General features: G+C 40.5%; 1 protein-coding gene across 16 annotated transcripts in view, besides 2 other annotated features; it reads left to right on the forward strand.

The window, feature by feature from the left end:
- RBFOX1 (RNA binding fox-1 homolog 1) overlaps positions 1–17,209 on the forward strand; it is a 2,473,620-nt gene that overhangs the window by 1,075,629 nt on the left and 1,380,782 nt on the right. For all 16 annotated transcript variants that reach the window (NM_001415887.1, NM_001415888.1, XM_017023318.3 and 13 more), the window contains one exon: positions 1,646–1,708. In NM_001415887.1, coding sequence (NP_001402816.1) covers positions 1,646–1,708 — 63 coding nt within the window. The remainder of the gene's footprint in view (positions 1–1,645; positions 1,709–17,209) is intronic.
- Positions 7,032–7,532: an enhancer, noted in NCBI's record as "H3K4me1 hESC enhancer chr16:6372382-6372882 (GRCh37/hg19 assembly coordinates)". NCBI's record gives its function as "activates a minimal SCP1, AML or CMV promoter by ChIP-STARR-seq in primed H9 embryonic stem cells {active_cell/tissue: H9 hESC(primed)}" and the evidence as "EXISTENCE:reporter gene assay evidence [ECO:0000049][PMID:30033119]".
- Positions 7,533–8,033: an enhancer, noted in NCBI's record as "H3K4me1 hESC enhancer chr16:6372883-6373383 (GRCh37/hg19 assembly coordinates)". NCBI's record gives its function as "activates a minimal SCP1, AML or CMV promoter by ChIP-STARR-seq in primed H9 embryonic stem cells {active_cell/tissue: H9 hESC(primed)}" and the evidence as "EXISTENCE:reporter gene assay evidence [ECO:0000049][PMID:30033119]".

Below are 17,209 nucleotides of genomic sequence, written 5' to 3' on the forward strand. Positions count from 1 at the left end.
ATGAATGGGTGGGTGGATGGATGGATGGATGGATGGGTGGATGGATCGATGGGTCTATGGGTGGATAGGTGAGGGATGGGTGGGTAGATGGATGGATGGGTGAATCGGTGGATGGGTGGATGGGTGGGTGGATGGGTAGGTAGATAGGTGGATGGATGGATGGGTGGATGGGTGGGTGAGTACATGGATGGATGGATGGATGGATGGATGGATGGATGGATGGATGGATAGATGGATGGATGGATAGATGGATGGATGAATGAGTGCATCATTGCTGTTTGTTGACACTAGCCCATGAGATTGGTCATTTTTATTAGTTGAAAGAAATTGAAAACATCAAAATGCAAAGCAAAAGGCTATTGAAGGGTGAATACTATCACCACCATTTCAACCACTGAATAGCTCTATCTATTCTTGGGTCTCTCTGCAGGTCACCCCTCTTTCCAATATTTTGAAGTCACTTGATGTTTTTAGGTGTTGTAATTTATCAACAAGAGGGGACTCACCAGATGTGAAGACTACACACACATATATATATCCACATACATACACATATGTCATCTTCATTTATATGTATATCTGTATATCTATATATCTAGATATACCTATCACATTAGGAAAGGGGGTATATTGTCTAAACATATCTGCAAATAATGTTTAAAATTTACCTCTAAATCTTGTGAACTTTGTTGAGTCTTGGCGTAAATTGTACTGCTGCTTTATAAGAGTAATTCAATTATCGATGGATCAGGATTCCAGAACCCTGCAAAGTAGTCCCGTCTCTGCTACTTAAGTTTCTCCCCAGAGAGGAAACAAGTCAGTATCCCAACCCCCTTGGGTATAGGATGCCGTAAACATCTTTCAGATCTACCAGAACTCTTGATTTTTCTGGTAGGAGATGACCTCTCTTTCAACTCACTGAACTATAGGAGATTATAATAGCCATTTGCAGTTTAGGTGATATTTGGTTTATTTAAATATCAATGAACATGAATCTCACTCCCTGTGATTGGGTGATGATAGCCATATTTATGAAATTTATTACTGCTAGGATACCTTGTATCATAATTCTACTCATTGCAAAATTAAATCATTTCCATATTTGAACTTTAAGTAAGTATCACCTGAATGCACATTGTAGAATCCTGCAGTTCTAGCGTTGAAAGGAAATTTAGAATTTATTTCATCCAAGCTAATTCCTAGGGGGAAAATCCATAATGATATATCTGAAATGTCAACCTCCAGTCTTACCTTGAACACCTCCTGTGACAAGAACTCATGGTGTAAGAGAAGAATACAGAAGAGTACTTCCAAGCTTGGTGTTGACTTGCCCGAGTTCAAATTCAGGCTTCACGATGTACATGCATGTCTTGTCAACTGTGGGAGCTGTCTGGGCCTCAGTTTCCTCTTCTGAAATAGAGAAGATAATAACACCTTCTTTGCCAGGATCTGAGAGGATGTAATAAAAATACATCGAAGAACTGAATCATTTTCATCATCATCATCACCATCATTGCTGTTAAATTCACAATATAGTCAGAACCTATTTTGAAGGTTGGTCCATATTACTATGACAAAAAAAGTGCGGACAAAATTCAAGAATACATTTCTTGATACTAAAGTCATTCCCCTTTTTCTTCTTTAGGAAACTGGTCAAAGAACTCATGCAAGTGGAACTTACAGCTTCCTTGATCGGACTCAGCATTCAGTAAGTGCAACCCATTTTGAACATTCATTCCATAAATACATCCATGTCTTTGATCCTGTTCTCTCTGAAAAGCTCTTTTCTGCAGGTTTGAAGTTGTTACAAAAACTTTGCTGCCTGCCTATGTCTTTCTCTTCTGCCCTATTGTATCAGAGATGAGAAGAGGGCCTGCAAGGTAGAACCACCCTCCTTTAGCCCTCCCTCCCCAATGAACCTGGGAAATTTGTGAGGTTATCAATGAGTTAACTGCGCCTTTATTAGCTGGGGATTAAAATAAAATGTGTTTTTGGTTTCTTTTTTTCTCCCCCTAAGGTTTTCTTATCAGGAGACATTCTGTCCCCCTTCTGAGTCACATGACCCTGCAAAGTAGAAAGAAATGCCAGCAAACACAGATCAGTTACCGAGAGCATGTATTTCTTGAGGCATTTAAGAACAGTTCATTTGCTCTTTTTGAGCTGGAATACATGACTATGATCTGAAAATTACTGCAAAAAAAAAAGAAATTTTTTACTTTAAGATGCTGGGGTACATTATAGAAATTTCATTTGTTTTCAGCAAGTAAGCATTTTTCCACTTTCTGCCTTTCTCATTGCATGCAAGGACTTTATTTTTGGTGAAGGTAGCAGTATTTTGTCCAATTTTCTCAGCTCTCTTTTTTTATATGCAGATATACTCTAGCATTTGGGGTAGCACCTTCACAAAGTCTCTGATGTCAGCCCTCCTCTGCAATAGTTTTATGGGTGAACAGCTTGTTTTAAGAAGAAATCTGTAATAATTTAATTATAAATATCAAAATTTTAAAAGGCTAGCTGAAAGAAATATTTATTTTTCAAGATGTAGCTTCCTTCATAGGAATGCAGAATTTCTTAGCAGGTTCTACTTCTGAAAGTGCTGGAGTATAATTTGATACATCAAATATCAGCCCATGTCATAAAGGAGCAGGTAGAATTGGAGGACATGGGACTCCAGGCCTGCAAGAGGCTGATCAAAGGGAATTCTTTTGCCCTCAGTGGGATTGCAGGACTCTTTCTATTGTCTTGGAATTTGCATATTCAAATGCAGAGGGGAAGGAGGCAGAGATAGAAAGAACTAAAAAGATGGTGTATTAGCTGTTAGCTACATCAGAATGACTTAGCGTAACCCTGATCAGCTAACGCTTGTATCTCACAGGAGATTAGACTGGCAGCTTTTGTTCCTAATAATAAAGGAAATTCCATGTCTAATTCCCTACGTGCCACATCTATCTTTTCATGCCTTTGAAGTTCAGGCTTCGGCATTTCTTGAAAACTGGGAGGTTTTGTAAGTAAAAAGGTGGGGGCTGTTTGGCATGAAGTCTGTTCAAATCTATTTAGTGTAAAGTTAAATTTGCTTGTTACTTGATCTTTTTCTGTTTAAAGCAGCATCTTTCTCATAGATGCCTTTGTTGGTGCTTGGGCAGGGAGGGGAGGGATGGAGGACATAAGGTTTCAAGGATGGGTTTTCAGATCATACATGACCTTCTCATTCCTCTGTCTTCTGAATATGATTGAAATTGCTGCTTCTCTGAAAGAAATTCCTGTTCCAACCCTGCACTGGGATTGAAACTTTTAACCTAAGGGAGGCTGTGGTCCCTAAGATAATTAGTACATGGATGTAAGGGAGCTCATGTTAATTTGTCTATGGATATGGTATTTCTGTATCTACAACTGCCATCTAAAGAGAGACATTAAAAAAAGTATTAATTTACTGCTCTAAACCAGTGAGCAGATATAATTTTTTTTAAAGAAATCATTTTAGAAAGGAAGCAATGGCAAGATGCCTTATTGGGGATGTTTATGGGTATTGATCCCTCTTAGTGTATCTAGTAGGTTTCCATCCTGTCCTTGGGATTGCAGCTTCTCTGATACAGCAAACCTCAATCCCCTTCAGAGACCAAGCAGTCACTTCCTCTGGAACAAACATTGAATTCTGGGACGTCGCCTGGTTATCAGGAAGGCAGATGATTTGACATCTAAGCTGGCCACATGCCTGGGTTTTGTGTGTTCTTCACCCATAACATGTTGGATGCATGCTGGTTGAGAAATTGCTCCAGTCTCTTACAGGATTTTAGCAGGAGCGATGACCTAGTAGTTGGAATTTGTACATGGCTGACACTGGGCCTGGGCTGATGTTGTGAAGAATGCCATATTTTAGTCTGAATCCAGGTTTTGATATGTCCATTGGCTTCAGAAAATTAATTTTCATTTCCTGCTTCCAAAATTTGGTTATTCTTGTTTAATTTTTTCCAGAATGTTTCCTTTGCATCGGTACCCTTTGGATTGCTGTTTGTTCAATAGTATATTACCCCTCATGATATCCACAGCATTTACTGTCGTGTTGGTAGACCATGAGTACTTGTTGGATATAATGATGGTCGAACAGGTACAACAATGGAAAGCTGAATAGGTAGATGAATGCTTCTTAACTCCTGATGGAGTATTGTGTAAATTGGAGAAAGATGGCATTGACATTAGACAAGAGACCAGTATGGGTGTTTCTGATGGTTGGTTTCTATTCCCCAATACTCTTCTTCAAAGCTTTCACTTCTACTTTGACAGGTCTAGAGTAACAGATTGGCCAATGCACATGGTGTAAGAGAATGAGCTCCCAGGAACCAGCATCTGTTTTCTAGCTCTCCACATCCCTTTGTTGTTATCTGTGTGCTAAGAGGAAAGCCACAGAAAGCTCACAGTAGCAGGGTCGGTGTTGGAACTTAAGCCTCAGCATGATTTTCTACAACTTGAAAATTTAACTTCCAAGAGGTTTCCTTGATCTCTATTTTCCTATCAGGCTAAAAATCCCATGGCATGCTGCATCATGTTTATAATTAATTAATTGTGCAAACTTTATTTTTATGTTTGTCTTTTTCTTTGGTCTAGTGCTATCCAATACACCATGTCTGTGATTATAGGAATATTTTTTTTTCACCAAGTCTTAATGAGGTATTATTGACCAATAAGAATTGCGTCAATTTCAAAAGCATACTCTTAATATAATTGGCTTTGGTGACTGAGAGGGGGAAGGTTGGGAGGAGGTTGAGGGTACAGATAAGAAGAAGGTGGAGACAGAAAGAACTAAAAAGATGGTGTATTAGCTGTTAGTTATATCGGAATGACTTAGCGTAACCCTAATCAGCTGATGCTTGTATCACACAGGAGATTAGACTCGCAGCTTTTGTCCCTAATAATAAAGGAAATTCCATCTCTAATTCCCTACATGCCACATCTATCTTTTCCTGTCCTTGAAGCTCAGGCTTCAGCATTTCCTGAAAAGTGGGAGGTTTTGTAAGTATTGGGTAGAGAGGGCACTGCTTGGGTGATGGGTTGTTTGGGTGATGAGTGTGCCAAAACCTCAAAAATCGCCACTAAAGAACTCATCCATGTAACCAAAAACCACCTGTACCCCTAAAAGTATTGAAATAAAAATAAAATTTAATTTTTTTTTAAATTGCGAAGATTTAAGGTATATATGAGACATGTTAATGTACATATACCTTGTGAAATGATTACCACAATCAAGCTACTTAACATACTTATCACCTTACATAGTTAACCCTGCTAAGAGAATAGATAAGGAATATTCTTTATCTGTGCTGTTCAATATGGTTACCAGCAGCCAGACGGAGCAAGTGAACGCTTGAAATGTGACTATTACACCTGAAAACTAACTGAAAACTAAGTGTTCTTTCAAAAACTGTTATTAAAAAAAAATTTGTTACTTTATTATTATTATTATTTATGAGACAGAATCTCACTCTGTTGCCCAGGCTGGAGTGCAGTGGCACGATCTCAGCTCACTACAGCCTTCACCTCCTGGGTTCAAGCGATTATCCTGCCTCAGCCTCCCAAGTAGCTGAGATTACAGGCACCCACCACCATGCCCAGCTAATTTTTGTATTTTTAGTAGAAATGGGGTTTTGCCATGTTGGCCAGGCTAGTCTCGAACTCCTGACCTCAGGTGATCCTCCTACGTCGGCCTCCCAAAGCGTTGGGATTACAGGCATGAGCCATCACGTTAAAGTAACATAAATGTGTTACTTTAGTTTTAATTGACAAACAATAATTGCACATATTCATGGGGTACATAGTGATGTTTCTATACATATACTGTATAGTAATCAGGTCAGGGTAGTTAACATATCTATCATCTCATTTCTTTGTGTCCGGAGAGTTCATTAATTTAAATTTAAGAACATGTGGCTTGTAACCTGATACTGTATTGTTGTATGGGATGGCTTTAGACTAGCAGCCTTATAAATACAGGGGCTAGGTCAGAAGTGTCCGTCCTTGTACCTAGGCTGATACTTAGCTGTTATAGATCAATTAGGACTCTGACTGATAAATTGCTACTGTCTCAAGCCCCAAAGTGTCCTCTATTCCCTGCTGTTCCATATGTTCTGCTTCCTTGAATTTACCCTTGATCCAGAACTAAAGGTTTAATGGTCCCCTGGGACTCTGCACAATGCCACAGCATTCATCTATTCTAACTGGTTGGTGCCTAATGCATGCTGATTATTCAAATAGTATATCACCTCTGATTATTTCCATGGCATCTACTGTAGTGCTGGCCCATAGTTCACCATCAGTACTTGTTGGATATAATAATGGTCGGGCAGATAGAGGGATGGAAGAATGAAGAGATAGATAAATGCATCCACCTTTTGATGGGGTATTGTGTAAGTGAGAGAAATATAACATCAACATTAGATGAAATACTGGTATGGGTCTTTCTGATGGCTGGTTTTTATTTCCTCAGTATTCGTCTTCAAAGCTTTCACTTCTACGTTGGTAGGTTTAGAATAATAGACTCCAGATCTATCACTGAATTCTAATGCCATATGCAGCACAGATTGCTATACATCTTCACTCATTTCTTTCTGTCACTTAAGGCTCCCAATGCATAACACTTGAAATCAGTCCACGTCTCACTCATTGACCCATGGGCACCACTCTCTTCTCAGGAACCTCAGTCCCAAGCCTTAGTTACTAACATTGTCTTTGTTTTTCATCCGCCACCAAATGATAAGTGAGTGTTTTATCTGTATCTTCTAAGAGACTTCTTTTCATTCCCTCTGTTGGCATATTGCTCCAGGGACTTCTTACTTACGTATCTGGGAATTCTTTCTAGGTAGTCTTCATACCTAAAGCCACCTTCCCTTGGATCCCAGCCAACAGATTGCAGGACTAATATTCTTGAAACAAGAATATCGTCTAGTTGGTTGTTGAATAAGCTCATCCTTACCTAACATTTTATCTTTTCTCCATGAATCCCTCAATACATTTCATTCCAACTGGGCAAGTTCATCTCTTGATATCTAAACATGTTTATTTCCCAGCTCCAAGCACTTGCTACACTTGGTCTCACCAGTTGGGATAGCCTTTCCTATTCTTTTAGTCTACACTTCTATGTAGATCTCTGTTAAGCCCTCCTGATAATGAATTTTTCTCTGTTTATTTCAGCTACTTGATTGCCCCTTGTAGGATAAAGAAAATCCTAAGCCAATTTTCAACGTAGGAAGTTGACCCTATGATTATATTTTAGAACCTGGGTTTCAGTGGAACAGGCAGGAGTGGAACAGAGTAAGGAGGTATTGAAAGAGAAACAACAATAATTGCCTTCCAGGGAGACACAGTTCTCTCACATGCAAAATTCAGCAGATGGGTTGGAAGTGGAAGAGGTTAAAAGGCGCCAGTTGGAATACAAGAGGGAGAGAGAATGAGAACAGGCATGGCCTAGGGCATTACCTTAATTCAAGGCCAGGCACAGGGTGGGTTTCATGCCAGCTGCATTTAGAGTCTGTGGTCTGGAAGGACAAACTCATCTAGATAATGCTCATTGACCATCCCATTTGCTTTGACACTTCCCTGGCCACCAACCACCCCCACACACTGTTGTTTACATTTCCCCTATGAATATCTCTTACCTCTCCTAAGCTGCTGCATAGCAGAGCTCTTTTCCCAGCTTCCCTCTGCATATAAGGGGCAGGAACTCTGCAGACCTTTTTCGATCGAATGAGTACATGAGCATGGGAGGAAAGAGAGAGAGAAAGAGAAGGCAGAGAGAGAAAAGACAGAGAGCTAAAAGAAGAAATAACAATTCCTTCTGCTTCTTTATTGTTAGGACAGAGCAGGATAATAAAGAATGGAAGTTACAAGGAAGGTGTGTAAAGTAGTAGCATGGGTAAGGAAGAGGGAAGCCCAGGCAGCACCCCACTGTCAGCCTCGTTCTTCTTCATCATCTTACCCAGTTAAAATCTGCCATGGTGCTTATGATGCTCCCTGATGACCAGTTTTACTGGGTGTGCACAATCTGTCTTCCCCACTGGACTGGAGGAGTTCTGAGGGCATGGGGTGTGTCAGTCTTGCTTGCTTCTGTATCCTTAGCACCTGTAAAAGTGACAAGCAGGTACATATTTTGAATGAGTTGTTCATTGAGTTGAATGAATTTGTGCTGTGAATGTTGATCACACTCTTTGTACTTTCAAATTATTCTTCTGTCATCCATGACTGCCGGTGGCAACCCCCATACCCCCAATCTAGATCAGTCTTTGAAAGATTAAGGGAGCAATGCTTGTGAATTGACCACACAGCTGTCTTTTGAAAACATTATTTATATGTTTATTAATTTTTCAATTTGCATAAATTTAGAGGTTGCAAGTACAGTTTCCATACATCATGGGTATGTTGCATAGTAGTGAAGTCTGTGCTTTTTTTTTTTTGAGATAGAGTCTCACTCTTTCACCCAGGTGGGAGTACAGTGGTGTGATATCTGCTCACTGCAACCTACATCTCCAAGATTCAAGCTATTCTTGTGCCTCAGCCTCTCAAGTAGCTGGTATTATAGGTGTGTGCCATCATGCTCAGCTAGTGTTTGTATTTTTAGTAGAGAAAGGGTTTTGCCATGTTGGCCAGCCTGGTCTCAAACTCCTGACCTCAAGTGGTCTGCCCGCCTCAGCCTCCCAAAGTGCTGAGATTATAGGGATGAGCCACCATACTCAGCCAACTCTGAGCTTTTAGCGTAACCATCACCTTAATAGTATTCATTAAGTAATTTCTCATCCCTCACCTTCCTCCCGCCCTCCCACCCTTCTGAGTCTCCATAGTTCATGCTCTGTGTTCACAGGTACACTTCATTTAGCTCCCATTTACAAGAACTACATAACTCTTAACAACACATTTGACCAATCTGGCTTCAGTTTCCTGATTACAATACTGATAATGAGGAATTGAACTAGAATGGAGTGTCAATTTGTTCTCACATTGCTATAAAGAGATACCTGAGACTAGGTAATTTATAAAGAAAAGATATTTAATTGGCTCACAGAGCCACAGGCTGTACAGGAAGTATGATGCTGGCATCTGCTCAGTTTTTGGGGAGGCCTCAGGAAACTTACAGTTATGGCAGAAGGCAGAAGGCAAAGGGGGAGCAGGCACATCTTACATGGCCAGAGCAGGAACAAGAGAGGGAGAGGAGGCACCATGCACTTTAAACAACCAGATGTTGTTACAACTCATTCATTGCTGCAAGGACAGTGCCAATGGGATGTTACTAAACTGTTCATGAGAAACTGCCCCCATGATTTAATCACCTACCACCTGGCTCACTTCTGACGTTGAGGATTACCGTTCAACATGAGATTTGGGTGAGGACACATGCTCTATATCAAATGGTCTTTAACTAGGGCCCCATCTAACTTCGAATTTAGAAAGCAAATGAGATATAGAAACTAGGCCACAGAAGAGAAGGTTGAAGGGAAGTATCATTATCTCAGCAAGACAGAGATGGATAAGTTACGACCAGAAGCAGTCAGTCCCTCCCTGGCCCACCTGTGTACAGAAATTAGCCCATTTTCTCTTGACAGGAGAGTGTACTATGTAGCTAAATTAGGTTTGCAACTAAATCAGTACAGACATTTTGCTTTCTCTTTGCTATAATGAGAAACTAATATTAATATAATTTGATCTACATTCATGGGTTGTAGTAACGAATTACAGGAAAGGTACCCAGGCATGGTGGCTCATGCTTATAAGCCCAGAACTTTGGGAGGCTGAGGTGGGAGGATCACTTGAGACTAGGAGTTTAAGACCAGCCTGGGCAACATAGTGATAACCCATCTCTACATAAAATGTTTAAAAAATTATCCAGGCATGGTGGTGTGCACCTATGGTCCTAGCTACTTCAGAAGCTGAGGCAGGAGGATCACATGAGCCCAGGAATCCAAGGCTGCAGTGAGTTGATTGTGGCACTGCACACCAACCTGGAGGCAGCAAAGCCCTGTCTGAAAAAGGAAAAATAAACTAAGAATTATGGATAATGAAAGCAAATTTCACCTGCATTCACCTTCTATTAGCTTTAACACCTATGAGGTGAAATCTTTGTATTTATCATTATCGTTCACCGGTTACCAACTGAAGAAAAACAGTAATGATATTTCTGCTGAATCCCTTCATTTAAACTAAAGAGTAGCTCTGCTTGCTGTCTCAGCTCAACCTGAGGATGTAGTGTTGTTTTCTGAAGACATTAGTGAATCTGGAATCACCTGATTCCTACTGGTGGTTCCTGTAGAAGACTATGGAAGTCACAAAGGATGAACCAAAATTTTGGTAAAATAGGCTGGTTAATACGATATGGAAACAGGAATTTGGTTTTTCCAAATTCAGGAGGCTAGAATTTCTTCCTACTTTTGAGAAGCTCCAAAGCAAAAAAACACAAACTTTGTCCATGTATAGATGGCCAGAATGGTTTTATTTTCCTAAAATATATGCCTAGTTTCTTTTGAATTCAGGTGGTTATTTGCAGATCCTTGCTTCAGAAAATACCAGCCCAACTCCATGCCTGGCTTACAGTTGGTACACAGTAAACAGTAACAATGATTGCTGTTATTGCTATTTAAAATAATTATGTGCTGAGAAGGGATGTCCTCTCCCACTGACTGACTTGTGTGCGTGAGTGTGTGTGTGTGTACATGCATATGCATTGGCAGAAAATCGGTTAACTCTTATTGAACCTCAGTCCCTCTGTTTAAGGAGAATAAATTGTCTTGCAAAACTGCATGGTGGTACATTCTAGCTCAAGTTGCTATGACATTGATATGGAAGTCAACATGCTTATCTTGGTAATGCCATCATTCCTTCCTTCCTTCATTCATTGATTCATTCATAAATAGCTATGGAAAAATTTTGATTTTGGATTCTCGCTAGGTACTGAGGATATCATAGTAAACAAACAGATATGGTGCTGTACACTCATGATAACATTGGAAGATAAAACTTTAAAGTAAATAAAATAATCCATGTGAGATTAACTATCACAGACTAGCCAATACCAGGGAGGGCTCAGGAATGTAAGGATGTGATTAGTTTGACCAGATGTGAGAGAGGACCAAGGAGTATCCTAGATACAAGTACTTTCTTCTCTTTCTTTGTCCCAGCCCAGGTTTTCTCCTTTCTAATCTAGCTGGCTTTCTTCATCCTTCTCAGAGGGCATTCTCCTCTCAGGGTTGTTTCGTCTCCCAGCAATGACCATTTACGCTTCACAGGGACAGACTCTCCCACCAAGTCCATAAACCTGCACTCTGTGCAGAATCATTGCCCATTTACAGCTGCTAATGCATTAATAACAGAAACGTCCGTGGCCATGACCTACCTGAGTCATTACACACTAATCATAGGAGGCAATTTCAAGCAGATTGACTAGTGATCGGTGTCCTCCCTGACGTCCAGGCAGGAGGACACACGACTGCCTTCACAACCCCAGAGCAGATGGCCCGAGAGCATAATCACACACTACAGCCGGTGCAGGTGTGGCTCCAGGAAGGGAAATCTCCATGTCTTGCATGCAAAGCTGGGCTCTCTCACCTGGAGGCTGTGCTCCAAATGCTCGTCTTTCATTTTGGAGCAGAATCCACATCTCAGGGACCTTCTTTGTGCTCGTTTTAAACTTATCACACAGACAGCTCTCTGAAGACATGGAGGAAATGAGATTCACCTGCACCTGAATGGCTCTAACATGCACCACTGTCCACAAGCCACTGTCGTTCCTTCTCCACTTTCCTCTGCAATCCCAGTCCAGATGTATGGTCCAAAGCTGTGGTCATCATGGGCTTGTGATTTGTGTTATTATTTCTTCCCTGAAGCTGCTTAAGCATTGTTTTTTATTCATGTTGCTCTCTCATTCCCTGCGATCATCATTATAATGGCCACACAATATAACATCAGGATGATGTTTTTCCGCTTTATCTTAGAATATCTAGTAGGTTTCTGCTTTTCTCACTAATACCAGAATCACTAGAGTTAATTACTTAGCACCTATAGAGTTTTCATCTTTGGGATAAGTGCCTGAGAAGTATAAGTCAAAGGATAGAAGCATCTTTATGACTTTGGATATATTTTTCTAACCCATTTTTTAATGGATTTGCTCATTTACAGTCAGTTCGTTGTATTTTGGGCTTTCTGCTCTTAGCTGCCTATTGTTTATTTGCCCATAATGAGGACTCAGATTATATTTAAGAGGAACTAGGCAATGACTTTGCAATTAGGAGTCAAATAGAATCTATACCTTCAAGAAACAGAATAGAGAGGGAATCTTGGTTAGAAAATAACTCATTGCTCTATGACATGATAATGTCCAAGAAAAGAAAAAGGAGTTTCAGAATACATAGATTCTGGTGCAAGACATGATTTCTATACAGATTCAAGCCAGGAGCCTCTCTTCTTGACCGATCTGAGATGAATGCCATGTTATTTCTTGACAAAGGTTAGGAAATGAGGGGTCTAATGGCTCTTCAATCCCGTGGGTTACTGTTCTATCCATAAATTCATGTATAAGAACTTTGTTGCATGCACCGTGGTCCCAGTCTGCTTTTATGGGGCGTACACTCAGAAGACAGCTTCTGAAAATGATCTGGGTGGAAACGTATAAAGGTTGTGCATTGCCAATTTGCAGTTGCAAAAATCTGGAACCAGCCCTAATGCCCATCAATCAATGAGTGGACAAACAAACTGTGACACAAACACACATAATGGAATACTACTCAGCCATAAAAAGAAATGAATTAGTGGCTTTTTCAGCAACCTGGACGGGATTGGAGACTATTATCCTAAGGAAGGGAAAACAAAATATCGTATGTTCTGACTCATAAGTGGGAGCTAAGCTATGAGAATGCAAAGGCATAAGAATGATGCAAGGAACTTTGGGCACTGGAGGGGAAAGGGTGGGAGGGGGATGAAGGATAAAAGACTACAAACTGGGTTCAGTGTATACTCCTCGGGTGATGGGTGCACCAAAATCTCACAGATCGCCACTAAAGAACTTATTCATATAACAAAATGCCACCTGTTCCCCCCAAAAACCGATGGTAATAATTTTTTTTAATGTTGTGCATTGTGAGGCCAAATAAGCTAGGATTATTTTTGGGTGTATATGCTCAATAGACCCTATGGGTCACATCTAGCAGTTCATTAAGATTCAAATAAACAAAGCAGCAGTCCCAGTAGAAAATGCACAGCCTTGGAGACAACCAAATGAGGATTCAAATCTTGGCCCTCTATTCACTATGTATGCAAAGTAGGAAAGTTACTTAATCCTTCTCAGCTCCAGTTTCATCTTCTCTCATGAGGATGGCAATAGGAAACCATAGGTCTCTTGTGAAGATTAAATAAAAATTCCTTTTTGGGAGGAGGGGATGCCTGTTAGGGATAAACCTTTTACTATAGAGAATGGGACCCAAGGAGTATAGCTTGGGCAGTGATCATTTCAGCAAAAGGGAGTCGTGATTACTGCTCTGCTGAGTTAAAGAAAACCTTGTGCTCTGATAAGGAAGAAGAGAGAAGAGAGAAAATGAAAGACAAGGATCCAACCAACAAGTGGGTGGGAATCAGATGTCTATGTGAAAGAAAGAGTCCCTAGGAAATCAGCAGCTGGTTCTGAAGTTCAATTTGAAGTGGTTTGCTGTGTGGTAAACCAATCCCCCCGACTCTGTGTGCCCTTTTCTACCCTTCCCCCTGAAGTTAATCTTTCCTTTCAAAACTCATACTCATAATGGTTTGAGAGTGATCATGGATGGAAGTTATTTCAAGTGCTGAATTCCTACCTGACTCCATGAAGTGGAAAGCAGTTGTTGTTCCTAGTCATTCTTAAGATAACAGCTAACATGGTGGAAGTTTTGCTTATGGGCCAGGCTGTGTACTAAGAAGTTTACAAGCATCACCTCATTTCATCCTTATAATGACTGAGTGAGATAGGTTCTGCTAATTATTACTCTTCTACAGATGAGAAAACTGGAACTGGAAGAGGATACATAGATTTCTTAAAGTTAGACAGCATGCAAAAGCTGGAGCTGAGTTTGAATTCCACCCATCTCAACTGTGGAGTCTACGCTCTTGACCACTATACTAAACTCTTTCTATATGCAGAACTCTGAGACAAAAGTTCCAGTGGGACTGTAAGTCTCATCAAAGAAATAGTGACAAAGGCGATTGTCTTCATCAGGAGGTGGCCTTGAGGATTCTGGTGCCTGGAGACCTCAGCTAATGTCTGGGTTATATTTACAACTCCACTTCTTCAAAAGATGGATGAAGGCCAGGCATGGTGGCCCATGCCTGTAATCCCAGCACTTTGGGAGGCCAAAACGGGTGGATCATTTGAGGTCAGGAGTTCAAAACCAGCCAAGCCAACATGGTCAAACCATGTCGCTTCTAAAAATACAAAAAGAAAAATTAAGTGGGAATAGTGTCACACACCTGTAATTCCAGCTACTTGGGAGGCTGAGGTAGGAGAATCACTTGAACCCAGGAGACAGAGGTTGCAGTGAGCCCAGATCACATGACTGCACTCCAGCCTGGGTGACAGAAGTGAGACTCTGTCTCAAACAAATAACAACAACAAAAACAAAATCAAAAACCACAAGGTGGATGAAGTTGATGACTGGTATGATTTTAAAAATATTGACTTCTACTGTGTAGCTTTCCTTCATCTTTCCCTTCTTCCCCATGCAAAGAAAGATGAAGAACATGAGCACACTGTACAATAATGTATGTCTGTAGTTTAATACTACATATCTGTAGTTTAATACTTAGTATGCAAATATTCTAATAAAAAAGTCATAAGGATAGGGAAGTAAAGGAAGGAGAACTATTCTAAAGTTCAAAAATACCTTATTATTCAAAGCACATGGTCTTACTCCTGCGTAGTGGTGGCTGAAACAGATTGCAAGCTCCTTTCCTAAGGCTGACTCTGCAAACATGAGGTTTTGAAGAACTTGAAGGTTTCACACCTGCACAAAGGCTCCCAAGAAGCCTTGCACAGCAGCTCTCGTAGTACTGAGCTCAAAGTCACTGATGATTCTGTTCAAACCCTCTAGTCCCCACTATGAAGGCTTTGAAAAGGGATATGGTGAAAGGTGAGGAATCAGAATAGGGCCCCTAACATTCCTGTGATGCTCTTCCTCATCTCTTCCTTACTGGAATTGCTGTCTCACTATATCAAGCAGGGAACTACAGCAATTCATTCATTCAACAAGTACATAGTGAGTGCTCTTCTATGCTAGGCATGTGCTAGCCGCGAGAGACACAGTGGGAAAACCAGACACCCATGCTGCCTAGACTCAGGGGTCTTACTTTCTCTAGAGGAAACAAATATTAGATAAGTAACTGTACAATAAAATAGTATAATTACAAATCACAGTGAGTGCTGCAATGTAAACACACCAGCGTGTGATAAGAATGTATGCAGTGTGTGGCCATTTAATGTAGGTGATCAAGGAAGTGATATTTAAGTGGAGACATTCTAGGGCAAATTCTCTGGGAGAGGAGCAAGACTTCGGTGGTTTTGGGGAATTAAAGGATGGTATGGTTAGAACAGAATCCTAGAAGGGGACATAGGATGGAATTGAAAGAGCAGATATGAGAGAGATTACCATCAAGGTACAGACTTCAGATTTTATCCTAAGTGCCTTGGGCAGCTCTTAAGGGATCTGAAAAAGTAAGGAAGTTAGTAATACTTGTGTTTTTAAGAAAGTATTGATCTGGCTACTGTGTTGAAGAAGGCTTGAAGAGGAGGCAAAAAGAACAGTTAAGTGGGTTATTGAAATAGTCTGGGGCCGGGCCCAGTGGTTCACACGTGTAATCCCAGCACTTCGGGAGGCCAAGGCAGGTGGACGTGGTCAGGAGTTTGAGACCAGCCTGATCAACATGGTGAAATCCTATCTCTAATAAAAGTACAAAAAATTAGCTAGGCATGCTGGTGCATGCCTGTAGTCCCAGCTACTGGGGAGGCTGAGGCAGGAGAATCATTTGAGCCCGGGAGGTGGAGGTTGCAGTGAGCCAAGTTCGCACCACTGCACTTCATCCTGGGTGACAGAATGAAGAAAAAAAGTCTGGGAGGGAAGGATGACATTGGCTTAGAATAGGGGTGAGTTGTGGGAATGGATATAAATGGAAGGATCCTCCATTTTCTGTTTCTCTCTCTCTCTCTCTATATATATATATGTATATAATATGTGTGTGTGTATATATATATGTGTGTGTATATATATGTGTATATATATATATATAATCTATCTGTTAATCTATCTTCTGTTTTCTATTCAGTGTTGCATAAATCTCAACCATTTGCTCAATTCTCTGGTGCATCAGAGAGTGCCACCAGTATGTCCTAAGTCCTGCAGAAATCATGCAATTTTTTTTGTTTCACCTTTTTTTAAAAAAAAAAATTGTATTTATTTGTGTATTGCCCTGGAAATGTACAAATAGTTTCTTCTTCCCCTATTAAAGTTTGCTTGGTGGGGTCTTGCTGGTTCCTGAGTTTGCCTTGGCTGCCATCTTCCATCCTACCTAGGATGACACCATTTGTTTCACATAAGTTTCTCATGCATGAGAGGCTGACATTCTTAATAGTTCTGTCACTCCTGTTACAACAGGCTGCTGAAAAGAAACAAGCGATGCCTGCAGGAGATAGGGCTGTCTCAGCGGTTTGTGTAACACCAATGGGGTGTGAGGTAGCAGGAAAATAATTAGTTTAGTTAGATGTAAATGGAAGACGAATGAAGAAAGTGCTAATATGTGGATGCCTGGGAGAAGGGGTGGCCTGCCTCATTTAAGGTTTGAGGAAGAATAATTGAATGAATAGCTATGAAAATGAAAGCAATATTAAGAGACTTGTATGGCAACGTAGAAGGCGGGAAGAGCTAAATTCGATCAACCAGCATTTACTGAGTGTTTATTATGTACCTGTCACTGTGTGAGGCATTTTAGCTACACTGGTGGGAAAAAATAATGGTAAGACATAAATAAGACTTTAGAATCTCCGTGGAAGTCAAAATTTCAGAACATATGAATGCACAAACAGATATTAGAAAGGTTGGATAGCAATTGTAAGCTACATTAATAGGCAAAACTATTAGGGATGGCAGGAATAATGTTGAATATAGGAGACATGACTGACTGTGACGATAGCTAGTTGATTTAAATTCTCAGCACATTACTTCTT

Source organism: Homo sapiens, chromosome 16 (genome assembly GCF_000001405.40).
Source record: "Homo sapiens chromosome 16, GRCh38.p14 Primary Assembly".
NCBI classification, from domain to species: Eukaryota; Metazoa; Chordata; class Mammalia; order Primates; family Hominidae; genus Homo; species Homo sapiens.